This window comes from Homo sapiens, chromosome 13, assembly GCF_000001405.40.
Source record: "Homo sapiens chromosome 13, GRCh38.p14 Primary Assembly".
Lineage (NCBI taxonomy): Eukaryota > Metazoa > Chordata > Mammalia > Primates > Hominidae > Homo > Homo sapiens.
Window position 1 is genome coordinate 42,710,148 of NC_000013.11, and position 27,853 is coordinate 42,738,000.

General features: G+C 37.8%; 1 protein-coding gene across 3 annotated transcripts in view, besides 2 other annotated features; it reads right to left on the minus strand.

Moving 5' to 3' along the window:
• Window positions 1–3,025: 3,025 nt before the first annotated feature.
• Window positions 3,026–27,853, minus strand: part of LOC124903164 (uncharacterized) — a 34,284-nt gene continuing 9,456 nt past the window's right edge. Inside the window, exons 2-3 of one of the 3 annotated variants that reach the window (XM_047430822.1) lie at window positions 10,404–10,554; window positions 3,026–3,406 (exon numbers count right to left, since the gene is read on the minus strand). In XM_047430822.1, coding sequence (XP_047286778.1) covers window positions 3,361–3,406; window positions 10,404–10,554 — 197 coding nt within the window. In that variant the 3' untranslated portion in view covers window positions 3,026–3,360. Of the gene's footprint in view, window positions 3,407–7,490; window positions 7,798–10,403; window positions 10,555–21,784; window positions 22,171–27,853 lie in introns of those variants that run through there. The other 2 variants (XR_007063769.1, XR_007063771.1) reach the window with 2 other exon arrangements.
• Window positions 10,485–10,534: an enhancer, noted in NCBI's record as "active region_7654". NCBI's record gives its function as "activates an Ori minimal core promoter by ATAC-STARR-seq in GM12878 lymphoblastoid cells {active_cell/tissue: GM12878}" and the evidence as "EXISTENCE:reporter gene assay evidence [ECO:0000049][PMID:35858748]".
• Window positions 21,750–22,380: an enhancer, noted in NCBI's record as "OCT4-NANOG hESC enhancer chr13:43306033-43306663 (GRCh37/hg19 assembly coordinates)". NCBI's record gives its function as "activates a minimal SCP1, AML or CMV promoter by ChIP-STARR-seq in naive and primed H9 embryonic stem cells {active_cell/tissue: H9 hESC(naive and primed)}" and the evidence as "EXISTENCE:reporter gene assay evidence [ECO:0000049][PMID:30033119]".

A 27,853-nucleotide genomic window follows, 5' to 3' on the forward strand; every position in this document is an offset into this window, starting at 1 on the left:
AAAAAATTTTTGTTGATTTGCCTAAAAATCATTATCATTTATCAGTTTGATAACACCTGACCTGAACTGACACTAGAAAAGCTAATTATAGTCATATTTTTTGTATGAATATTCTTATTTTTGCCGTAGTGATATTAACATGCTTGATTTGGGGATGCTGGCCCAGACTCTCAAAGGATGTTCCATAAGCACCCTATTATTTTTCTAAAATTTGAAAAATTCTAACTTTGAAATATATCTCGTCCCAAGGGTTTTGAATAAAGGATTATAGGCATGTCTTTTGTAAATTAATTGTTTTCACATAAAAAATTATATGTACTCATTATGACTAGTCAAGCAATATAGAAAAATTAAAGGAGGAAAGTAAAAAATTATTCCAAATCCTGCCACCCAGAAATAATCATTTCCTACATCTGGTGAACATTATCTGTGTTATTTTTCTATGCATTTATACAGAGATCAAGATAATTAGGTATAATTTTCTAAAATAAGATCCTATCACATAGTAGAAGAAAACATTTCTTCACCATGAGTGCTATGAGTTTCTAAAATATTTCTCCAAGTTTAAAGGAAGATAATGAAAAATAACATGAGTTTCGAATCATGATGTGAATGTGTATTTGGTTATGTGTTTCAATGTTGTAGGGAAAAGAAAGAGAGATCAGACTGTTACTGTGTCTATGTAGAAAGGGAAGACATAGGAGACTCCATTTTGAAAAAGACCTGTACTTTAAATAATTGCTTTGCTGAGATGTTGTTAATTTGTAGCTTTGCCCCAGCCACTTTGACCCAACCTGGAGCTCACAAAAACATGTGTTGTATGAAATCAAGGTTTAAGGGATCTAGGGCTGTGCAGGATATGCCTTGTTAACAAAATGTTTACAAGCAGTATACTTGGTAAAAGTCATCGCCATTCTCTAGTCTCAATAACCCAGGGGCACAATGCACTGCGGAAAGCTGCAGGGACCTCTGCCCTTGAAAGTGGGGTACTGTCCAAGGTTTCTCCCCATGTGATAGTCTGAAATATGGCCTCGTGGGATGAGAAAGACCTGACTGTCCCCCAGCCCGACACCCGTAAAGGGTCTGTGCTGAGGTAGATTAGTAAAAGAGGAAAGCCTCTTGCAGTTGAGATAGAGGAAGGCCACTGTCTCCTGCCTGCCCCTGGGAACTGAATGTCTCGGTATAAAACCCAATTGTACATTTGTTCAATTCTGAGATCAGAGAAAAACTGCCCTATGGTGGGAGGCGAGACATGTTTGCAGCAATGCTGCCTTGTTATTCTTTACTCCACTGAGATGTTTGGGCGGAGAGAAACATAAATTTGGCTTACATGTACGTCCAGTCATAGTACCTTCCCTTGAACTTAATTATGACGTAGATTCTTTTGCTCACATATTTGTTGCTGACCTTCTCCTTATTATCACCCTGCCCTCCTACTACATTCCTTTTTGCTGAAATAATGAAGATAATAATCAATAAAAACTGAGGGAACTCAGAGACCAGTGCTGGTGCAGGTCCTTGGTTTGCTGAGCGCCGGTACCCTGGGCCCACTGTTGTTTCTCTATACTTTGTCTCTGTGTCTTATTTCCTTTCTCAGTGTCTCGTCCCACCCAACTAGAAATACTCACAGGTGTGGAGGGGCAGGCCACCCCTTCAAATGTTAGGCCATATCAATTGACTTCACACTATTAATATGAGAAAATTAAACCCCTTATTCTTATCCTGCCTCCCCTTCTCTTAACTCTCCAGTTTTTACGTATATATTATGTTTTGTCCTCATAATTCCATCCATTTTATAGAATTTAATAAATAGATTATATGTTGACTGTCAGGTCTTTTACCATAGCTTCTTCATTTCTGATTTTTTTTTTCGATTCTGATTCACTTGTGGTTGAAAAGATACTGTCCTCAAGTCTTGAGTATTTTTCAAGTGAGGCTCATGGAGCATGCCTTCTCTCATGTTTGAGAATGTCTGGGTGATAGTACTTGTATTCCTGACCCAAAGGACAACTTAGCTATGGACAAAATTTCTTGGGTTTGTTACAAAGTTTTGTGCACTCTGGACATTAAATATAATTATGAACAAGTTTAAGAGAACATTATTTTCTAAAATTTTGTAAATACTTTGAGTTTTCCACAGAAATTTTCCATGGGATATATTCTTTATCCTTGAAATGCACTAACTTTTCAAATATTCAGGACTATTTTAAGAACATTTTGTAATAATGTACTAAATCCATGTACACTTTATTCTATTATTATTTTTGGATATGTCACTGTATTTGTCCATTTTCATGCTGCTGATAAAAACATACCTGAAACTGGGGAGAAAAAGAGGTTTAATTGGACTTACAGTTCCACAGGACTGGGGAGGCCTCAGAATAATGGCGGGATGTGAAAGGCACTTCTTACATGGTGGCAGCAAGAGAAAATGAGGGAGAAGCAAAAGCGGAAACCCCTGATAAACCCATCAGATCTCATGAGACTTATTCGCTATCACAAAAATAGCATGAGAAAGAACGGCCCCCATGATCCAATTACCTCCCCCTGGGTCTGTCCCACAACATGTGGGAATTCTGGGAGATGCAATTCAAGTTGAGATTTGGGTGGGGACACAGCCAAACCATATCAGTCACTTAGACAATGATGAAACTGCTTGGTCTTTAATATTTATAATCTTATTTTGAATCATTTTTCCTATTTTTATATTATTTTATATGATTTTCTCTTGTTTTCCAATGTACTGCTGTTTTCAGCAATAATAATAAATACTTACTTATAATTTAAATGTATATATGTGTCTTACTTATCTTTTTATTACCTATCTGCGTTACTGAAATGTAAATTCCCAAGGGACTAATTATTGTCTGTTTGTTCTCTGTTGTATTGCTGGTGCCTAAAAGAGCATCTGACACAATGGATATGTCTGAAATGAATGAATGACGGTGCTATGTACATAAATGTCATCAACCATCAGTGTGGCAACAGAGAGTGGTTGGAAAGCATTCTTACATCACACATCATGAAGGGAGAAATAGAAATAGATTTATTTTCAAGGCCTCTTTGAAACTGCCAAGCGGCTGCCATGTTTGCTCATGGATATCCTCCACCCCTCTCTTGAGATGAATCTTCCCTACAGGGCTCAGTGGGAATATGGATATGGATCAAGGGGTGAGTCCCTTTTTGCCCACAATAGTAAAGGACCTTTTCCTCGAAAAGAAGGGGAGTGAGTATGACAGAGACTTTTTTCTTTTCTCCATGACAGGCAATTACGTTTTCAGAAGGGATTCCCATGCACGAAAACTAGGAGCTGTCTTCCCAAAGGAAGTGTAGTCACTCCCAGAATCCAGTCAATCATCTTCAGGTATTGAGAGGACCTGTGATAGCAGTACACAGTTTGGCGTGCCTGGATGAGTAAGGGAAAGAAGCTGTTTGTTAGTGGTTACGTGTAATCTACTTTGGGATATCTCAAGGGCAGGATGAAGGAGAAGAAAACAAGATCAATTAGATAAAAAGAGGGTGAATTAGCCTTTTAATCAAGTACCTAAGCCATGAAGCACACAGTTTTTCTAAGAGACACCATTATCCTTAATGGAGTTCTTTAGAACATCTTCAATTTTTCTAATGAAGACAGAAAGCCCCATCTTTAGTAAAGTGCTTCTCTTTGCTCATTTGACCACAGCATTATCTATTTCATTTATTCCCCTAGGGAGCTGATACTCTCCCATTTTTGTTCCTCATAGAATTATAAAGAAACAGAATCTGTCCAAGTTATTTAATCAAATTATTCTTGATGAGGCCATATGAGTGCTTCAATATCCACACTTAGTATGCACCCTTCTAATGATGTTCACTTATCTAAAATTACCCCTTAATTGATAAGATATATGAGCAAAAATGCTATTAGGCAAAATGTTGAAAGAACTCAAACCATTTAGAATGTTTTCATGCCAACCCTTGAATTTACTTAATCTTCAATGAGCAGTCTAAAAAGGTAGGATTTAATCTTCACTGTAACTACCAAGAAACAGCAAAGGGAAATAGGTTGAAGACGAGGTGGCAGACAAGGAGGGGGGAAATGTTTTTGTCTTTTGTGTCTTCACTGCACAAAACTGTATGATTTTTATTTGGTTCCTGCATTTCTCCATTTGAGAGAAGCATTGCAATACATTTGGAAATAGTGGTGCTATATATTTCATACAAGTTGGCTAAAATGGTGTTGAAGTCACTGACTAATAAGAATCACAACTTATTTAAAGCCAGGTTTACAAGGTATAATTTAAATACAGTACCTATTGTGCTCAGTTTTATGAGTTTTGACAGATGCAAATGTTATGTTACCACCACCATTCCAGTAATGATATAACATATCCATCACCTTCCAAAATTCTCTGTTGTCTCTTTGAAGTCAAACTTTTCCTCCCACTTTCAGGCCCTGGCAACCATTGATCTGTTTCTTCTCTCTGTAGTATCACCTTTTCCAGAATGTCATACAAATGAAACCATATGCTAGGTAGACTTTTAAGTCTGGCTTCTTTCATTTACCATAATACATTTAAAATTCCCCGTGTTGTTGCATGTATCAGTAGTTGATCTTTTTATTACTGAAGAGAATTTTATTTAATGTGTATACCAAAGTTGTTCATTCAGCAATTGATGGACATTTGGTTAGTCAGTTTTTTCATATAGATTTTTCTGTATACATACGTTTTCATTCCTCTTACCTTGAAGTGGAATTTCTGCATTGTATGTCATGCACATGTTTAACTTTGTAAGAAACTGCCAAACTGTTTTTCAAAGTGGGTGTACTATTATCCATTCCCACCAGCAACGTGTAAGTGTCCCAGTTACTTTGCATCCTCACTAGTACTTAGTATTGTCATTAAAGAAAAAAAAATTAGGACCGGGTGTGGTGGCTTATGCCTGTAATCCCAGCATTTTGGGAGGCCAAGGCAGTGAGGATTGCTTGAGGCCTGGTGTTTGAGTCCAGCCTGGGGAACAGAACAAGTCCTTGTCTCTATAAAATAATAATAACTGAGGCCGGGTACAGTGGCTCACGCCTATAATCCCAGCACTTTAGGAGGCCGAGGTGGGAGGATCATGAAGTCAAGAGATCATCCTGGCCAACATGGTAAAACCCTGTCTCTACTAAAAATACAAAAATTAGCTGGGCGTGGTGGTGCGTGCCTGTAGTCCCAGCTACTAGGGAGGCTGAGGCAGGAGAATGGCTTGAACCCAGGAGTTGGAGGTTGCAGTGAGCCGAGATTGCGCCACTGCACTCCAGCCTGGCGACAGAGTGAGACTCCATCTCAATAATAATAATAATAATAACTGATAATAAAATTAGCTGGTTGTGATGGTACACACTTGTAGTCCCAGCTACTCAAGAGGCTGAGGAGGGAGGATCCTTTGAGCTCAGGAATTCGAGGTTGCAGTGAGCTATGATCACACCACTGCACTCCAGCCTGGGTGACAGAGTGAGACCCTATTTCAAAAAATTTTTTTAGCTATCTACTAGGTGTGTAGTTATATCTTATTATGGTTTTCATTTGCATTTTCTTATTGATGAATTATATTGATCATCTTTTTATGTGATTATGTACAATCTATGTGTCTTATTTTGTGAGGTGATTATTTAAATCTTTTGCCTAGTTTTTATTAGATTTTTTTCTTATTATTGAATGACAAAAGTTCTTTATATATTCCAGATACCAGTTTTTCTGGTAACTTTGCAGAGATTAATGGTTCCTCCACCCAAAATCTGGTTCAGATGTTGAGACTGATGTTGTCACACATGCACTAAGAGGGTAGGAAAAGGTTTTTACTCACATAATGAGGCTTTCTGGGGACAGCAGGGCAGGCTCCCAAGCAGCTCCAAAAATAGCTTAAGAGAGCAAAGAAAGGAGCCTGGCCTGGGGTTCATGGTGTTAGCGAAAGAGCTGAGGTGAGGGTTCCCACACACAGGGATGAGAGCTTGCAGGTTTGACATTCCTGCCAGTGCCAAAAAGGAAGCGCAGGGGCCCTCTCATCAGCTTCCACAGAGTGACAGAGAGGAGGGGAGGGCAGTGGAGCTCGGAGCTGTCAGCAGCAGACACCAAAAATGGAGTCAGGCCCTTTATTATACCAGACTTTCCTCAACAGGAGAGTTATATTAATCACATTTTTAAAAATGTATACATAGTTTCGCTTTTGTCACCCAGGTTGAAGTACAATGGTGTGATCTTGGCTCACTGCAAACTTCGCCTCCTGGGTTCAAGCGATTCTCCTGCCTCAGCCTCCCAAGTGCTGGGATTACAGGAGCCCGCCACCACGCCCAGCTAATTTTTGTGTTTTTAGTAGAGATAGGGTTTCACTGTGTTGGCCAGGCTGGTCTCGAACTCCTGACTTCAGGTGATATGCTCATCTCAGCCCTTCCCAATGTGCTGGGATTACTGGCATGAGCCACTGCACCTGGCCCGATATTTTTAACATCAAAAGGAATACCCAGTAACATTTACTGTAGGTGGTTTATCAAGTATATAGATTATGTCTGTGCCTTAAATATACTTCAACATCTTTTAAAAAAGATTATCTACAAATAATATTATTTGGATCTTTTCTAAGAGAAATGTCCATTCTAAATGGATTGGATTCAGGTCTTTTGAAAAAAGGGCTGTGAATATTAGCAATAAAACATGGGTAATTAAGAGAACTGTGAAATCTCCTTCCCTTGTGAGAACAAGGCTCAATCCAATTGACTAATGTAATCCCAACACCACTCATGCCCCGATGGGTGGCTTTGTCTATAGTTCTGCTTTTTGTTGAAGGTTTGGGGTCTGATTGGTTATATGGCAGACTATAAAGCAGTGGATCATATGGGAAAAGTCCCCTCAGGATGGTCATAATTCAATTGTAAAAGTATCACCCATACTCCCTTTAATTGACAAAAAATGAATTAAGCACCTACTATGTGCCAGGCATATGCTAGAATCTGGAGAATTAAAGTTAAGTAAGATAGAGTCGGGGCTGTCCAGCAATTTGACATTTATTGAATGTGAGAAACATAAAAAAAAAATCAGAATCAAATCATCAGTGAAATGCCTTCAGATTTAATTTGAAAGGACTATAAATAAAAGAGTGGGCTGCCTGGACAATCATTCTTACAACTTCACTCCAAAATGAACAATTTTAATTGGGAAATGCAATGGAATATATTTGGACCTCTTTCTCAGAACTATGCAAGCTGGCATGGCATTTGGGAACCTTGTTTGTAACAGACATCACTAACCAGTATAATGAAGCATATGCCATACGCTGATGAAATTCAACTTTTGAAACAGATAAAATATGTTTTTCTATCTCACTAGGTTACTAAATTACAAAAGTAATATTTTTATCAAATGTTTTCTTATGTTTGTGCCTAAATTCCTTTTTTTCCCTGGGTGATGTGAAGGTAGCCATTTTAGGATCAATGCCATGTAGGGAATGTAGGAGAGAGGAAGAGAGGAAACTAGTGGCTTTATTATTTATTAGTTGGTAGTCACGGCTGGATCCAGACATGCAGGTACTCTGAAAGAATTAGTAGTTAGGAATATCAAGAATGCTAATAACATGTCATTCATCAAACTGATTCTCTTTAAAAAATACGATGTTTAGGGTGGAGAAGCAGCAGAGTAGGACTGCTGGCATTGGCAGGATCGGCATCTTCTCAATGGTTTTCAAAGTATGTTCTCCACATCGACAACTTCATCCTCATCTGAGAAGCCCCTAGAAATTCAGATTCCTGGGCCTCATCCCAGAGCTGCTGGATCAGAAACTCTGGAGGGAGGCCCAGCACTATGTGTTAACAAACCCTCTGGGAGATGCTGATGTGTACAGAAGTTTGAAAAGCATTAGTCTGCAACAATTCAGCTTCAGCCACGAAATCACATTTGCCATTCAGAAAACCCAAAGTCTTACCCTACAAAGCCCATCTACCTACAAATCTTAGAAGATGACATGGCAAGCATTTATTGTTACTCAAGCATGTGCTTTGGGGACCCCACACTTTACCCCTACCTTTGCCTCTGCTACCACTACTACCATTAACTCTCCCTGAAAGGAATCTTGTTAAATACAAAATCTTTTCTATTCTGTTCCATTTCCAGTGATATTTTAATGTCCATGAGGTATTGGTATCCTGACCCTGCTGGCCTTTTCTGGTTCTATGTGACAAAGTGGCAACTCTACTGGGCTGTTTGGAAATCTTCTAGAGTGGTAGTGGGGAGGATAGGGAGGAAGGTTTTTCTGCTTACACATCTGTTGGCTGGTTTGTTCACCACTATTTCCCTAAAAGTAGTTATAATTATAAATTTTGTAGTATAGTTACTGCTGTTTGGGGAAAACCGGAGACTTAGATCATAGAATGTGATATGGTTAAAGGGTCAAGTTTTATGTAGATAATGTTTTCATTTTAGTTTATGCCAAAATAAAGATTTTAATAAATAAATAATAAAATAATAATTAAATAAGTAAAATAAATTCTTGACAGATTACATACTATACACTTGGAAGAAGAAGGAGGAGAAAGAAGAGGGCAAAAAGGGGAGAAAGAAGAGGAGATTACACATATAATGCTTTGGTTGGGCCAGGTACTATACTGAATACTTTACATCTATTGTCTCCTGTAATTCTCAAGACAAATTTCTAGGGTAGGGCTTATTATTCTCCCTATTTTACAGAGGAGAAAGTTGAGGTATTGAGAGATTAACAAACATGAGAAGGGTTCCATAGTCACATAATTACATAGCATTGAGGTGTGTGGTAGAGTAATGGGTGAGCTATAAGACCGGAATGATTAGTTGGGATCAGGTTGTAAGGAGAATTGACAGCTATGTAAGGAGTTTCTAGTTCAAATTATGAGAATGGTACACTGGAGAGACACCTTGGAGATACTTTGAAGATAAAATTGATCTGACTTAACAATCAGATGGTAAGAAATGGGGGGAGTCTTTAGCTGAAGCAACTGCGTCTGATGGTGTCACTCAAGGAACAAAGGAGGAACGAGTTTAAGGGCAGAAGGAGCCGATGTGTTTAGTTCAATTACACCAAGTTTTGGGTGCCTGTGGGACACATGCAGGTAGAAACTTCCAGTTGGAAATATAGCTGAGGCTCAGAAGCCAGGTTAAGTCAGGAAGTATAGACTTAACAGCCATCAGCAGAGTGATTAAAAAGTCTGGCCCTCTGCAACGATGGAAGTGGTGCTATCACCGGGAAGAAAATGTAGAACAGGAAGGGAAATGGATCTTGTGGGAAATGACTAAATGGAAGAGGTAGAGAAAGACAAAGCTTTGAAAATCATTATAAAATAGTGGCTAGAAGGTAGTAAGAAAATGAAAAGATGATAAAACTGAACATCAAGTGAGGTGATAATTTCCAGTGCCCCATCAAACCTATGACTGTGTTGGGCTCATGGAACCTTGAGCAATGGAAGTGACACTGAAGTCCAGGCATCCATCTGTGACCAAAAACACCCTGCCTAATTCTGTAAATATTCTGAGGTCCTTTTACTACCTATATTGTTACTCTTCATCGGCAAGGTGCTGACCAAAGTAATATTGTAGAGCTACAAAATAATAATTATTAACATATTCATCCTAAATGAGCTAACAGATAGCTAATCCAAAATAATTCTGTAGTGAGAAACCCGAATTATGCAATCTTTAAATTCTATTCTATTATATCGTGCAGTGACAAAAAATGGTGGTTAATGGAAAATTGTCAAGTGAGACTTGCTGGAGAGGGCTGCTTTGGCGGACAAGAAAGCAAGAAATATCTTTGCTTTTGCAAACAGACACCACTAGAAGATGTAAAGAATTTTTAGGTGCAGATTAAAGAGCCTCTTTGCAATCTCATTTACAGTTTTTCTTTACTTAGGAAATTCTTTTCCAAGGATAATTCAAAGACTTTAGCCTCATTTTAAAAAACCATAATTTTTTGTTGGTTAGCCCAGATTGATGAAGTCATATGAAATTTTCTGCCTCATTGTGCCTGTATGACATTTTTCCTACTCATTCCTTTTTTCCCCCCTTCCATAGCCTCCTCAATTCCTTCTTGCCACCCCTTCAGATTTAGACAGACCGTCTCTTCAATTCTGATGGCAACATTTCACACTAAATAACTATATACCCTAGCGTTGCCTCTCACACGTCCAGGTGATTGGCAGATACTTGTTTAGAGGATTGGAAACAGCTAAAAGTGACATTCAAGGATTCAAAAGCAGCTTGGTTGGGAAATAAATCTTTGGCTGGGAAAAATGACTCTCTTTGCCAGACAATAGCCTTATAATTTATCATTTATTGGAAAAGAAGGATGCATTTTGAGAATTGCATCAGACTAAAACTGATTACAGATATTAAGCAACGTCTCTATGAGCCATTACTCACCGCGTATGTGAGAGCTGAGTGCCTCTGGAAGGCGGGAGCTGATGAGTCACTGAGTGTGCTATTGCACCATCATAATTGTTAGCATCATAAACAATGGTATATGACGGGGTAGAGCAGATTAAAGAGAATGAAGTGTCTTGTGCAGTTCCCTCTAGAAAGAAGAAACGAGACGTTATTTCACTGTGACGTTAACTATTGATTCAGGTTTTTGTTTGTTTGTAGCTCCTAGTGGTTATGATAACTCAGAAGCAGTATTCATGGCTTATTCATTTCGAAAGCCACCACAAGTGATGGTTTAAGCTGTTCCAACTTTGTGTTGTTGTTTTTGAAATAAAAGAAAGGCTTTTTCTTTTCAGTGTTAGGAAAAGGGAAGACATTCAAGAGAGCTGAACCAAGCGCTAAGTATCCTGAAGATCTAAGATCTAAGGACCCTGAAGACCTTAGATCTGGCTAAAAATTATACCAAGAAGCAAGTGCTGTTATAATCAGAGGGATAGGGCAACGCTGAGCAGTGAACTCACAGAGCACTCATCCATTCCTTTCTGACATTTGTCATTTTTTATCTATGTTGTATTTATTTAAGATCATGTTTTAGTTACATATTGTAACTAAAATATCTCAAAACAGAGATTGTGTATAGTATTTCTCAAAACAGAGATTGTGTATAGTATAGAAATACTATAAATATCTCAAAACAGAGATTGTGTCTTAAAAAGTTTTGCTCTCTCCTCAGAACCTAGCTCATTTAGTAACTTGTTATTGCTGAATAAAAACCAATTTATTGATAAATGAATGTCATGAGTCACTGTATTTATTACAACTCATCTCCATTTCCTTAATTCTGTGAAGATACAAAAGCTAGATTAGCCAGTGCTGCATAAGAGTAAACTAGGATGGTTCTCGGAATGGGCACGCGTAATTGTTTATATTTCTTTCTACCAGTCTTTAATTTATATTATTTAAAGAAGTGCTGATACTTAATAGCAAACGTATCTTTTGGAAAGAGTTTTACTTTAGATGAAAAAAGTACACCTTCTGGAGAAAACATTTTAATGTCATGCCTTTCAGGCACCCACACCTTCCTCTTCAGAATATGAGGCAGTAATTATGACTACATAATTCCCTCTGGGGAAGCTAATTAAATGTGGATATTTGCTAAGGAAAAATAGAGAGCCTATGAGTATAAACTCTGCAAATGCAAATATATAAAGGATCACAAATTCACACTAGTGCATTCTGTTAGACAAACATTTCTGCAAACAGCAAGGCTAGCCCTTGAAAAAAAACTGTGGAACAGCCAGAGGACAGCTTGAAGATCCCTAAAATCTTCTTTCTGGACACCTCCTCACTACACCATAATCATCTCTGGTTATACTTATGTTCTTTCTTAACTTTTCCATATTAAAAACCTGCTATATTATTATATAGTATTAACTAGTATGACAGTGACTTTCAGTAACAGTGGTTAAACAATCAGAAATTTATTTCTAGTCCAAAAGCCAAAACTGGAGCTGCAGCTCTGCTCTGTGAAGCTGTCAGGAGCCCAGGCTCCTTCTGCCTTGTTGCTGTGATATCCCTAGAGTGTTCTCATTATTGGTCTGTTGGTCTCATCAAAATGGCTCCCTACCCTATCGGCATTCCAGCTAGTGGGAAGGATGGAAAAGAGTTAGCAGAGGGAACTCGGAATTCTCCTTTTCTTTAAGAGCAGGACTTGCAAGCTTCACGCATCACTGACTTTCTTACTCCATTGGCTAGTCACATGATTTTCCTTAATAGAAATATCCTTTTAAATATAGATCTAAGCTCACAAAAATGGAAGGGAAATTCCTCATGGACAAGTTGAAAAATAAACTGTGCAAGCAGAGGGGTAAACAAAAGCAAAACTGTAAGAGCACTGTGGGCATTAGTGGACCTTGCTGTCAAGATACTTAAGAGCGACATGAAGGACAGGAGACAAGACCTAGGCCCATGCAATGTGAGTAGCTGGGAGTGACACTCCACATCCAGCTGGGAACCTGAAAGGGTTATAATCTTGATGAAGGCACGTACTAGAAAATGATCCACCTAGGCTCTAGATGCGGGGGGGTGGTGGGGAAGGCTTCATTGGACATTAGTAATAAAGGCTTTCCCTCAGATAGATCTGGGATTCAAATTCGTATTACCTACAAGATCCCAAGCCAAGATACCTAGTTCAAGGGGTGCTGGGTTGATAGGACCTTGTGACCACTTTAACCCTTTCTGGAGAGACCCACCCTCTATGCAGGCTTCACAAAATCTTCATAGATAAATTAAATGATTGTCAACCAAATACTTACCATATTAAATTTTCATTCAGACATGAGGGCAAAATAAAGATATTTTTAAACAAAAAAGTACAAGTTACTTCCCGTAGACTTTTGCTAAATGGACATCTAAAAGACATATTTCAAGGAAAAGAAAACCACTCCCCCCACCCCCAAAGGCAGATGTAAGAGGAAATATTGAGAAAATAAAGAGGTAAACATGTAGGTAAGTCAAGAAATGCTGACTATATAAAAATAAATAATACAGTCCAGTTTGTTGTACAAAGGTACAAAAAGTACAAAATTGCAAGGTAGAACAAAAACACCACAGAAAAATAACATGCAAGATGTGGAAAAAGATGATTTGATTTAAAGTGTCCCAATTCCATGTATTGTCCTAGAAGAGGGTAGACAAATTGCTTAACTTGAAACTCTTAAAAAGTAAAATATACACATTAAAATTTAAAATTATTCCATTAAGAAAATAGACCTATATTGCGTAACTTGTGACCAGTGTAAAGAAGCGTAACAAAACCCTAATCAATCCAAAGAGGGAACAAAGGAAGAAAAAGTAAAGAAAGTGGAGGAGCACAGACAATTCAGAGCACATAGCACAGGATAAAACGGTAGAAATTGGTCAAACAATCAGAAGCATACTAACCTCACCAGTTACACAACAGAGATTATCTGCTTGTAATTTCAAAAACCCATATGTAGCCCATCACCAGACAAACACCTAAATAAGACACACAATGCTTGGATATAAACCAGGAATTAAGCAGACAAAAAATTAGTAAAGATATTTTAAAAAAATATTTGACCTAATACATCACAGATTGGAATTTGAAGTCCATAAATTGATCGTAAACATTCTTTCCGAATATATGCGGAAAAATTCTAAATATTATCCATATACTAGGTCATAAAGCAATTCTCATCAAATTTCAAAGAATTACAATCATGATCATGATGATTTTTAATTAGATTTTAAAAATCAAGAGCAATGACAAAAACTTAAAACTTTATAATTTGGAAATTCTAAAACTTGATATTGGGAGACAATTCTCTATGGGTCTCTTTTGTTTCTTTGTGTCTTGAGAGCATAGGCACTGACTGCCTTTCTTCTGGAATATCTTTTCATGGATATTTGCATAGTGAAAAACAGCCTTGGAAAATATAGCGTCTCCCTCCAGAGCAAAGGCCAAGTTGTTTATATTATGGCACAATAAAATAAGGAAAATGCCTTTCTTTGAGGCAAAGATTCAGCAGCCCAATACAAAATATTTGGGTTTTCTAAGCTCAGGGTTCCACGGCTGTAATGTAACCCACTGCATATGGAGGCATCACCTGGCCCTTTTTGTATTGGCCTAAGAGAATTGGGGTTCAGGGAACTGGCTCAATTGCAGATATTCTGGATACAATTACTGCTGTGAATAATAAGCCCTCCTTTGTCTCTGACCCAGGCGTCTCATGGCTTTTGCCAGCATCTAGCATTCTAGCAGACTAGCTCATAAGCTTGTAAGTAGGATGAAATCTCAGACCCTTCACTGTTCTTGACAAACGCTTTTAAATAACCATGTGTATTAGGAAATGAAATTTGAAAATACTTATATCTAAATGATAGCAAAATCTTCCAGGAGGAAGAAAAAGTAATGTTTAAAGGAATACGTACAGACAATGCTGGTAGCAGAAAAGGAAAAGCAGAAACTAAATGAGCTAGGTGCTCATATCAAGAAGTCACGTTATAAAAGAATAAAACCAAAGGAAATACAATAAAAATTATTTTCAAATAACAGCACAAATGATTTAAAACAGAAAACAAATGGAGAAGATCAGCAAAACAAAAACAGTTCTCTGGAAAGATTAATATAATAGCCAAATTTCTGATAAGACTGATCAAGAAAAATCAGAGACATAACAAATAAAAAGTGTAACTATTAGAAATGGAAAAGGGGACATACTATGCTGATATAAATCAAAGCAATGTCTTTGATGCTGGAACTTTAAGAACTGGTGATAGACTCCTTGGATCATAGAGAGAAGATTTCTTTCTGGCAGAAGTTTTTGCTTTCTGTCTCACTTCGCAGCCAATGAATGATTGCCTATTCACAGGCCAAATGTCATTATACCAAATGACTAAAGCTGAGGAGTGTGTAAGATTAATTCTACAAAAAAGTTTATAAAAGGCAAGTTGGATCTTAATAAAGAATTAGCAAACGTGAAACTAAATATAAAACATAGTGCCATAAAAAGACATTACTTCCAACATCTTTCATCATCCTAGCCATTATTCAAGGTCCTTTACAAAGGCCATCTACTTCATCCTGCTGTCTTTGATTCTTTTCTGTTAGATATAATCTTTTCCTTCTGTGACGATCTGTAGCATTTCATGCTTGGTTTATGAGTCTAAAGCAATATTTTCACCTTCATGCTTACAATATTCTAAGCTTTCTACAAGGATGGACTGGGTCTTATTTACCTAAGTAATTCTAGTAAATAATAGTAATAGTAATAGCAAATAAACTACCAACAGCTAAGCATGGTCAAAACTTCACTTGATAGGTGGTCAATAAGTACAATGGAATTGAGTCACTAAAACTAAACAGCACTAGCTCTTTTATAGGAACTCTGGGATCCCGGAAGTGAAAAAGTGTTAGAGCAGGAGCAGTCTCTAAAGTATACTTTATTCTACTGTCTAAACAATGCAGAGAATCACATTGATACTATCTCTGATGTCAGAACCCTTTTTGGGGACTTACCATGATGGGAACATACATGGCCATTTTAAGGTTGGTCGGCACATCCCATCTGAGGATATTCCTACTCGTGTTGGAATATCATTACCTATCCTCAAGTCATAATTCTGCTTTAAAAAAAAACTGTACTCAAATGTCACTTCCTCTAAAATGCCTTCCACAACCAGGTCTGGTTTAGATGTCCTGCCATGTGCTTCTATAACAAATTTAATATCTACTTACCACATTGTATTGTAATTGCATTACATTGTAATTTACTTGTCTGTCTATGCCAGTAGATGATACACTCTTGGGGTGCCTACATTATATATCATTCACTTTGTATTTCCAGCACCCAGCACCCTACCTGGACAAAATAACCATTCATAAAAAGTTCCTTGAATTGTAGAATGAATGATTTGGAAGTCTGCTGTGCTGAAAAGTTTTGGATTTATTCTTCGTGGGAATGTGGTTTCAGAAACTTCTAATCTAAACTGCTTCTTGTTTGTCTCTAAGAGTTTGATTTGTATGATGTGTCCTCTATATAAGGTTCTGATGTAGGCAAGGACTGTTTCTGATAATATAGATTTTCTATTTTGCTGTTGTGATATGAGCTGTGCATGGGTATTTTCACATACGGTAGTCCTGTGCAATGTACTCATCTTTAATTTGCTCCCTGGGTACTACATTCTAGGGTTTCTAGTGCCTCAAAACAGGCCTCCAGTCTGTGCAGAAGGGTTGGTGTATTAGCTTCCTGTGGCTGCTACATCAAATGACCACAAACTGAGTGGCTTAAAGCAACAGACATGTATTCTCTCACAGTTCTGGAGGCTAGAAGTCCAAAATCAAGTCACTAGCAGGGCCACAGTCTCCAGAGACTCTAGGGGACAATCCTTCCTTGCCTCTTCCGGCTTCTGGTGACTGTCAGCATTTCTTGGCTTGTGGCAGCATCACCCTCATCTCTGACTTTGTCTTCACACGGCCTTCTCTTCTCTCTGTATCTTCCTTCTTCTCTTATAAGGACACGTCTCATTGGCTTTAAGGCCCACTTGGATAATGTAGAAAGATCTCATCTGGAGATGATTAACTTAATTATGTCTGCAAAGACCACTGTTTCCAAATAAGGTACCATTTACAAGCTTGAAGTTTTAGATAATGTGCATATCTTTTGGAGGAGCCACCATTTAACCCGTTGCAATTGATAACTATAGGTCTGATTTCCAAGTAGCATTGTCTACCAGCCTGGCAGTGCAGAAGTGCTGAATAGTATCGAACATCTTTTTATAAACTCATGATATAAGCAGTATTTTATCTAACTTTCATCTTCCCAGTATCTTCTAGTGATCTTTAAAAAATTATTTTTGGTTATTAAGACTTGAAAAATATAAATGGATTCTAAATTCCTGAGGGAAATGGTAATAAATTTGGGGGGATATAAGTCGTATTTCTATTTTTAAACAATTATTTTAGAATTCTGGTATTCAATACAATTACTTTTCATTATATTGACCCAAGAGCCTACAAATATATAGTGAGGTGATTTCCTTTTGCAAAGTCAGATATTGTGCTCTGAGTGCTTTGAGAAATCACCTGATTTTGATGAAATAATTTAATTTAAATGTTGTCATCAGGAATGAAGAATTTTCTCCATTTTTAAATAAGGGAATTGATGCTTTGGACATGACGTTTTACTTCCCATAAGAGAACAATACCTATTGTTAGGTAGAAATGTTTTTGTTCTTTTTTTCCCCCCAGCAAAGAAATTGCTACTATACATTTTTAGAAACCAGGTCAATTTTTTTTTTCAACTTCAATGTTAAAGGACTGCGTAGGGAAAACAAAGTTAGAGTCATGAGTAATCTATGGATCAAGGAACACAACAGGCTAAAGTATACATTCAGTAAGATGTGACCTTCACTTTTAAAAATATATATACATTTTCCTAATTTAGAAGTCAAAGATGAGTTTGGGGAAAATTTTTAAAATGTAAAAAGCTATACAGCTTGGCTGGGCCAGGTGGCTCACATCCATAATCTCAGCACTTTGGGAGTCTGAAGCAGGCGGATTGCTTGAGGTCAGGAGTTTGAGACCAGCCTGGCCAACATGGGCAAACTCCATCTCTACTATATTAGCTGGGTGTGGTGGCACGGGCCTGTAGTCCCACCTACTCAGGAGGCTGAGGCAAGAGCATCGCTTGAACCAGGGAGGCAGAGTTTGCAGTGGGCTGAGATTGCGCTACTACACTCCAGCCTGGGTGACAGAGTGAGACTGTCTCAAAAAAAAAAAAAAGCTTTACAACTTAATGTAACATATAAAGTGATATTTGATTATAGTGATTGGTATATGTCCCATTTCATATAGGTATATTTCTGATCAATTTTTATTAATAGATCCATTTTTTATTGAAACTGGTAACCTTAGTGAATGTGAGTATAGGTATGAAGGAATGCTTGAAAACATGTGTCTGAGATGAATTTATAGCTTGGCCTTAGTGTGTACACAATGGCCCTAGTCTGTGGCTATATCATGCCATCTTAAAGGGGTACTGCAGATTGTTGGCAACCTGATTAATTGCTGGTTGAACTGAATACTTGCTTCATCATGCAGCACATTACAAAAGTAATAACTATTTGCCTTTTCCCTGGAATGCCAACTTTTTCTTATTGCAGGGAGTCAACCTTCTGAGACTTTTTCCTCTTTTAGGGGTTAGTTCATATTTAGGTGAAAAATCACATTCAGAATTATCACATAAGATTGCCTTGGCCTCATCTCTATCTTCATCAAAATCTTGAAGTAATACAATTTGGGATAGAAGAATATTCGAGAGGACATTCTTACCTGTAGATCTCACCAGTCTCTTCTGAGATGTCCAAGTAATGTACCCACCCTAGCCTCTCTTCTGAGTGTCTCCTTTAATATGGGTCACCATGTTTTATTCTATGTCCTTGCTCCTTTTGCCTCAGCAGACTAGACCAGGGCTAGGTCTCTACCATCTGTGAGCTGGCTGAGGGGGACCCTCCGGGTGCCTGGCACAACAGCTTTGCACAACAACTTGCCATATGCATAAGAGCTAGCAGGCTTGGACAGGGTCTTTTCAGGGGAGTTTGAATGAAACACCTATGAAGTCAGCAGGGTGCAGAGTGACTCAGGCTTGGAGAGACAAAACATGAAGACAGTGTGCAGAGGCTGTGAAGCACCAGAGCCCTGAGAAAGCAGAAAGTATGAAGAGTAGGAAGCATGAAGAGTAGAAGGGGAAGAGAAGAAGAAAGTTGATATAAAAGTAGCAAAAAGAAGCAGTTGGATAAAAAGCAGCGCAGGAACTGAAACATAAGCTTGGCCCAGAAAAAAAAAAATCTGTTTATGCCCTTAAGCTATTGACAAACTATCAGAGCTGGTGTCGTAGGCCGCATGCTATGAACAGTGCCGCAATTCTCTGTGACCCCTAACTCTGTGCTTTGGAGAGAGCATCCTGTTTTTCATACTTTTCTTCGTATTCCCTTAACTAAAGGAACCCGCACCCGTTTCTATTTTTTGCATCTGAAAGAGCCTAACAAACACAATATCCTCAAGATGAAGCAAAGAACTGAGAAAAAAATGAAAATTAAAATATAAAGTCATAATTCTGACATTGAAACATAATCATTTAATGGTATTTTCATTCAAAGCACTGTATGGCAAGCAATGTGCTTTGATGTTTCACATAAGGGCAAAAGACATACTCTGGAAACAGCAGCTGTAAAAGCCAGAAAACTTATTTTAATTCTGGGTTTGAGTCACAAGTGGCTACTTCTGGAGTTGGAGTACCCAGAAGGTAATTAGATTGTTTGTCCATGTACCTTTCAGATGAACAGGATTGCTACCTTTAGAAGTAAAAGCAACAGAAGAGGGTTGTCCCTAGAACCTTACTTTGTTTCCTAAGGAAGACATTTACTTGCTGTATTATAAAATTAATATTATTTTGTCCCTGCTGGGTAGTCAAGAGCAATTTGTGGGTGATTGTCGGTCTGATGTCTCAGGATCAGCGTTTCTTATTACCTCAGATGTAATGGAGAAGAAGAAACGTTGTGTTGCTTTCCTAGTACGCTAAGGTTTCCTCTCTTATGAATCTAACCTCTGATAGTGCCAATATTTGAACAATGTAAGTTCACATTTTGTGTTCCCCTTTATATTTTCGTTTTCTTTTAATCGGGCTCTTTTCTTCTCAGGCAAAAAACATGGCTTTATGGTCTTGCTTAGTTGAGTTTTCCTTAGCAGTTGAAAGAAATTATTTGAATTTACTAACTAAATTTGGAACAAACTGCATTTCTGTGGCAATGAATGGGTTATCTATCCCTAGTGGGGTGGAATATCTTCTCCATTAAGAATTATTCCATTTTTTGTGTGCATGCTTTACTGCATTTTAGGGGTAAAACAACTGCACTGTTTTCTGTGGTGAGCCTATAGCTAGCAAGTATTGATCCCTGGAACTTATCATAAAAACCAAGGCTAGAGAATGCTAACAGTCACAAATATTTATTCACAATTTAATCATTTTCAATGACAATTTCTGATAAGGATGTAAGATTTGAAATGAGAAGACATGGGCTGAACTTCCAGCTCTATTATTTCCTGGAAATGTGGCCTTGTGCAGTCCCTGAACAGCTCAGCTCCCCTGTAGGGAGTTGGCAATACCTACCTTATCTCCCAGGGAGGCTAGCTGTGAAGCTCCAAGGACAGAACCTTATGGAAAGTGCTGTGCAAATGAAAATCCCTCTCTAAAAGCAAGGTATTAAGATGGTGAATGCTGTGACAGGAAGGCAGGCTTCAGTTCTTTGTTCTTCGTAATAATTATTGTGGATGAGGGTGGTGGGAGCAACGGATGTAGACATAATGAGAGGTGTTCAGAAAGAAACGCTCAAAATACCCAAGAAACAAACATCAGCTCCTTCAGAACTCTATATTTACATAAATATTTCTCCTCATGAAGTTTCCAAATTGAATTTGGGGTGACCACTCAGCTTTGTTCATTCTATTCACACCTCTAAAGTATTGACAGACGTGAGCTCAATTTCACAAAATGAAATAATAGCAATTTAGCCTAAGACTTGAAGACAATGTCAAGATGAAAAATAAGGTTCATTTTCCGCTGCTTTTTTCTGTTTTTCACTCATTTATGTGAATAATTCGTGTACTTTACATTTTGAAAGAAATAATTATAGTAATCAGAATTTGACTTTTTATGAGCTATAAATTTTGAGAAGCTGCTTGTTCCTACTGGCATCAATATAATTTTAATTAATAAATATCTTTAATCTACCAATTACATAACATACATATAATGACACAGAGCTACACGATTCTGTGTTTAATCATTATTGAATGTGCAGGAGTTGGTAATATAGACACTACCCCAGATCCCCAGATCTGAGTGAGTTATACATAAAAATATGTGGGAAAAGATAAATTTTAAAGAGCACTCCTTTTGGAAATAAAAGATAAAACAGAAATGAAAATGAGATGTTTTATTTTTCCTGAGCATTTTGTTCTTTTCAATTATATGACAGTTTTGGGGACTAGTTTCTCTGTTTAGGATATAGACAAATGCTGGATTGCCAACCCAACAAAATTGTTCCAAAGATCTAGGACCTGAACTTGGGAGTGGGGGCACCAAGGTGTAGAGGTTATTCCTCTCTCTGGTCAAAGACATAGTTTGATGTTTGAATCCTATTACCCACCTATAAAGCTATTTTTTCCATACTATTCCATGTCATTTATTTGAAATACAAAAATGTTTACTTTAAAAACCATTTTAAATATCCTACTCCTCTCTAAGAAAAATTTTAGAGTGTGCATTCATGGTTAAAAAGAGATATATTAACCTAATAAATGATACATTTTCTGTGCATTGTGATTCTGATTATTCCTCAATAAAAGATGAAACATTTCATAGGTAGCACAGAGTGTGAATGAGGAAGGAAAAAGGAAATTCTTTATACCAAGGAGGCAATAAGTTTCCTGAGGCAGACTCCAGAAGCCTAAGGACCCTGAGCAGTGGTTTAACATCCTCTTTCGATTGCCAAGAAGGCAGTCTAAGACTTATTTTCTGTAAACTGAAAGTCTTAGGTGATCTCTAAAGCCCTATCTAGCTCTAAATTTGTAGGATTCTGAATGTTCCTGAATTTCAGTCTTTGCTTTACTTAGCCCAGGCACGTGTGGATTTGATCCACCTGATTTTTCCTCCAACTACTTTTTCTCTTCCTCTGAAATCACAATATGACTAGTTGGCTTTAGCTGACTGCCAGAAAAATGATCCTTCTTAGAAATGGGCAAAAGAGATAGCTAAGTGTTGTTGACAAGGGGGAAAAAGCAAAATAAAAAAATTCTGTAAAATATTTAAAGAGGTTTATTCTGAGCCAATGTGAGTGACTATGGCCTGGGGAATAGTCTCAAGAGGTACTGAGAAAGTGTGCCTGAGGTAGTCAGGTTACAGGCTGGTTTTATACATTTTAGGGGACAGGAATTGTAGGTAACATCATAAACCAATACATGAAAGGTATACATTGGTTCAGCCTAAAGAAGTGGGATATTTTGAAGCAGGTGGAGCTCCCAGATCATAGGCAGATTCAAAGATTTTCTGATTGGTAATTGGTTGAAAGAGTTAAGCTTTGTTTGAAGACTTGAAGTCAATACAAAGAAATGCTTGAGTTAAGATGAGGAGGGATTGTGGAAGCCAAGATTCTTGTTATGTAGATGAAGCATCCAGGTAACAGCCTTCAGAAAGAATAAATGGTAAATACTTACTTTTCAGTGGTAAAAGGTGCCAGACTCTTAGCAAATCTCTCCCAGGTCTGGGAAAGCCTTGACTATATTAATGAAGATTCTCTACAGATGCAAATTTCCCCCACAAAAGATGGCTTTACAGGGCCATTTCAACATATGTCAAAGAAATATATATGGGGTAAAATATTTTGATTTCCTTCAGGGCCTACTATCTGTCATGTGGTGCTCTACCATAGTCAGGTTGGAATTTGGTATCTTATTGCCACAAAGAGTCTGTTTTGCCAGTCTTATAATCTCTATTTTAATGTTAATGCTGGTCAGTTCTTCCTAAACTCCAAAAGGAAGAGGGCATAACAGGGCGTGTCTAACCTCCCTTCCCATCATGATCAGGAATTCCATTTCTCAGGTTTCTCCGGGGTCCTCTTGACCAAGAGGGTGTCCATTTGATCAGTTGGGGAGGGCTTAGGATTTTAGTTTTGGTTTACTGTCTTCACTCTGGGAATGCTGGACATTGGAATCTATAGAGGTTGCACCCTTTGGTTGGTTTCTTTTGACTGGGCTATTTTTGAGCTCTGTCGAGGTGGAATTAAGTTGTAGAAAATGAGAGAAGTGTATATAATTCTTATTCTTAGCAATGTAAATGGATTTTGTCTGGTAAGGATATACATGATTTCTGGCCTGTGGAAAGATTATGCCAAACATTACATTTTATTACCTTTGAGCTTATTAACCAGCTTTGCGTTTATTAGCAAATACATTTAAATATCTCTGATTGCTCGGTCTTTGAATTCTTCAAACTCTCCATTAACATCTTATTGGTTTACCCTTTAAATAAAGAGATAAACAAAATTTTTGACTTGTGTTCAATTGATATGAGTCATGATTTTCATCATTTTGAAAATTATACTTGAGAGCAATTTAGCTAGTGAAAGGGGTGTGTGTGTGTGTGTGTGTGTGTGTATGAAAAAGAGAAAGAGCAGTTACTAAAGCCTTCTTTGCTCATTTGTTAACATTTATAACCAAATATGATCAGCCACCCCCACTGAGCTTTAGCTATATTCACATTAAATCAGTATATTGTGTCTAATTTAGAAAGTTCATCATGGCCTAGGTGGATTGCTTTACAGCTTTATGGGGTTCAAGAGAGATCACAGAAGCTGGCATTTAATGTAATTATAGAATAATGATTACCATGTATAAAAAATTTCTCAGTATAAAGAAGTCAGAACAAAACCTGTCTTCAAACTAGAGGGAGGTTATAAAAGGGCTAATTGGTTCAATTGTTATTTCCTCCCACTCAAGGTGTTCAGTCCTTGAACCTTTTCCTTCCCTGGATGAGAAGTCTGTTTAATATACTCTCAATGGGGAAAGAGTTGGTGAGAGACACTGAGATAAAATAGATTGTGTTATCTGAACTTGAGAAATCTGAGAAAAAAGAACTGTAGCCCCACATGGAAATTTTGCTGCTCACACCAGAGTGTTGTAGTAAATAATGTAATTCTAATTCAATATTAGTCTTTCATGAAATGCGTAAGGCTTTAACCTCTGCTTTTGCTGTAGGTTTTCAAATAAATGGGTATGAGATTAATTACCACTTGTATTTTGGAATCAGGGACATTAGACTAGCTAATCTAATAGCAATCTGAGGAAAGGGTAATAATCCCAGCCTGAGAGAGGCATAGCTGAATCCCTCTTAATTCAATGCAATCTGCATTTTTGCTTAAAATGTATTAATACTGTGTGTGCCCTGTATAATCTTTATTCATACCTTCCTGCATTATCAGGAGAGAGACATGAATTACAAATTAACCTCCCAAACCACAATTCACTTTAGGCTAACAGGTTCTTGATTCACATACTTAAAATTGAGCCAACTCTTGCTGAAAGAAAACCTCATAAAAAAATTTTCCAGTGTGGAAAGGATGATGAAGTGAGGAGACAGGCAAGAGACAGAGTCTATTTTCCTTTGCAGTGATTACAATAGGATATTAAAATTGTAAAATGCAAAACCCCAAATAAATTGAATTTGTGGAATCAATTTTTTTTTGTAAAGCAGAGATACTTTTTCTTTCACATCTTGTTTTAAGATCCTAGAACATGGTATTTATTGTGTTTATCTATTTTCTACCTGAATAAAGTAGAAAATAGGGAATAGGTCTTACTCACGTTTGATCACTGAGATCTTACAGTGCTTTTGATTATTATCCTGATATGGTTTGGTTGTGTCCCCACCCAAATCTCATCTTGAATTGTAGCTCCCATAATTCCTGTGTGTTGTGGGAGGGACCCAGTGGGAGATAATTGAATCATGGGGGTGATTTCCCCCATACTGTTCTCATGGTAGTGAATAAGTCTAACGAGACATGATGGTTTTATAAGGAGAAACCCTTTTTGCTTGGTTCTCATTCTCTCTCTTACCTCCTGCCACATAAGACATGCCTTTTGCCTTCCGCCATGATTGTGAGGCCTCCCCAACGATGTGAAACTGTAAGTCCATTAAACCTCTTTTTATTTATAAATTACCCAGTCTTGAGTATGTCTTTACCAGCAGCGTGAGAACGGACTAACACATATCCTAACCTGTTGAGATGGAATTAAGCAATCACAGGGTAGGCAGAAGAATAGGAGTCTGAGAAGAATCCAGGGCCATAATAAAACAGCAGGTCCCCTAGAATTGTGCAGTGCATAACCTGTTCAACTGTATCTTTCAGTCTTGAATGTTGCTAAGTTTAGCAGTGAGAACTGGACTTCAAGCAGAATGGAAGTGTGATCCTATTTGGGGTGGCCAGACCTCAGAGACTCCTGGATTGACTACTTCAATACAGTTTGTATCCTCTACCCAGCAATGAGCAGGACTGACTCATACTAGCTCTTAAGCAGATGAAAGAAGCATATAATTATCCCTAGGGCAAAATGCATTCTTATTCTCATACAGTCGAATAATAGTTTGCTCTGTGTAGCAAACTATTAAGTCCACCAGAAGCAGTGGACTCATAGCAAAAATTTCTACTTCCCTCTCTTGAAACTGTAAAGAAGTGCCGCACAGGTAAAAAGACACCTCCCCAAAGCCTGCTTCCCCCCCGAACCCAGGAGGACCCAGATACAGTCTGGAAGGACACTGAGCAAATGGTCAGCCTCATGTGGTGGTATCCTCTGCCGTTCATTCCCTGGTATGGGAAATGTGGGGCTAAGGAGACCACGTCTTCAAACATCAGCTTGCTGCCGGACCTCCCGCCCTGTGCTCCACTCTTATTGCGGCAAAGTTCTTGCTTGAATCCTTTAAAGGAAAGGAATGTGTATTCTTTGCCTCTGTCTGTTGGCAACTTTCTGTCAGTCACTATCCCCCTAAGACAGCCACCCATCAGCACATCCCCAGAATTCAAACAGCATCAACAACATCGTCTACATCCCTGACGAGAAGTTTTGTTATCCTTTGTTTTTTTGTTTTGCGTGTGTGTGTGTGTGTGTGTGTGTGTGTGTGTGTGTGTGTGTGTTTCGTTCTAAGAATAGAGACTAGAAAATGAAGAGAAGATGAGAAAGGGAGTTTTATTTTACTGTATAATTAGTTAGATTTCTGTTAATGGAAATTTTACATATTCTGTCTTTTTCTTTTCTTTTTTGACATCTCTGCAAGATTGATTCTGGCTGTTGCAGATCATAATTATAGGTCTATCCTCAGTGTATAAGATATTGATTTGCCTTCCTCAAGTAGTAAATTTTAGTGACAGGAATTATATTTTGCCAATTTCTTTTGTACAATGCCCAGCTAGACATATAAAATAATTTTGGATTTTTTTTTATTATAAGGTGATTTAGAACAAATTACTTTTCAGTTTTGCTGTCTATGATAAAGAAAGCATAAATGGTGAGTTAAATGTTTTAAGAAACTCATAGCAGAAGGGTTTTATTGTATTAATTTATGCAGGCTGATTAGCACATAGTGCCTGGCTGATAGGAGGTAATCAATAAAGAGTAGTTGTAATTATTAGTATTATTATTAATGTAAGTTGAAAATGAAAGGATTAACCTTAAGAGATGTTAGGCAGGCCTAGGGCCGTGTGCTGATCTATGGATGAGGAGATCCTGATAGGGGAATCTAAGACCCGGACCTAATGACCTGGGGAAGAAAGAAGCAACTTGGATTTGGAACAATAATAAAAGTGAATGGCTTTGATTTATTAGGTATCTAATATATATTCTTTACCTTTGTCTCATGTAATCTTCATAATAACACTACACAGTGGTTATTTTCCCTACTTTTTGGTTAGTAAGCTGTAGCCCAATGACTTGCCCAAGTTTACACAGCTCATAAGCGATGGGGATGATCAACATTAAGTCAGGTCTGTCTACCTGACTGTTTTTACTTTTCAACTTACTGAACGAAAAGAGGCCCATGCAAGCCTTCTTTACTAAGGGTTCCAAAATAAATATAAAATGACGATAAGCCTGCATATTTATTTATGCCTGTTGCTACTTTCCAACTTTCACATTTACTCTCCACTGTCAAGACCGATGTTGTTTGAGCTGAACAACGGAAGGCTGTAACAGGAGCCATGCTGTAAACAGAGGAGGAAAGACATCTTACAGTGTGAAGATGGAGAAAAACTGCAATAGCAAGATAGTCCTCCAGATAAGCCAAATCCCATCCATCTGTCCATATCAGCTGTCCCTACCAGAATAGGTTATTTTCCATTATTCCAGTCTCCACACTCTCCCTGTTGTGAAATTTCTGCAGCACTAAGACCCATACTCCAACACTCTTAAAACTATATCGTCTTGTATTATTTGCTAATTAGAATTTTAAAATAAAGTTAGAGGTGGTCATAGATCACGTGCCTAAATGGAACCTTTTAGAGATAGAACAATAGTGCTTCTTGTGTGGCCTGTCTTCCTAATTAGATCGGAGGGTAGGGACTATGCCCTACTCTCCTTTATAGACACCCTTTCTCACACTCTAACACAGCGTGTAGTACATGGTGGGTACTCAAAATATACTAGGTGATTAGATCACTAGCATATTTTACCAGGAAAACAACGTATGTAAAAAGAAGAGCTTTGTGGGCTTTTTTTTCTTTCTCTTTAAGTTTACAGGTTGTTTTACTACCTTTCTCTGGGAAGTATGTATGTTTCACTTCAGACACATCAAAAGCCAATGTAGAATGTTTTATGGTCTCCAAAATGTCCTTCTCTCTTTGTTCAGCAGGCACACTGGGGTCCTTTTATTTCTTAATAATTATCTGTAGTTGAAATAATATTGTAGCTTTTCATTGATAATAAACTGGCAATAATGTAAACTCATAATGTAAGCTTCCACTTTTTAAAATATTATTTTTTAAAAAGTAGTGCGTGCACACAAATTAAAATGTTAAGTGCGCAAAGTGTTTTTTAAAGTCCTAGTTTCCTTCCTAAAGAGCAATTACTGTTACCTACTCTATCATTCCAGAAGATGTATGTTGTCTTAGTCTACTCTGGTTGCTATGACAGAATACCTTAGACTGGGTAATTTATAAACCACAGAAATTTATTTCTCACCATTCCAGAGTCTGGGAAGTCCAACACCAAAGTGTCGGCAGCTATAGTGTCCGGTAAAGGCTTGCTCTCTCCTTCCAAGAGGGTGTCTCCCTTCTGTGTCCCCATATGGTAGAAGGGCAAAAAGGGTGAACTCTCTCCCTCA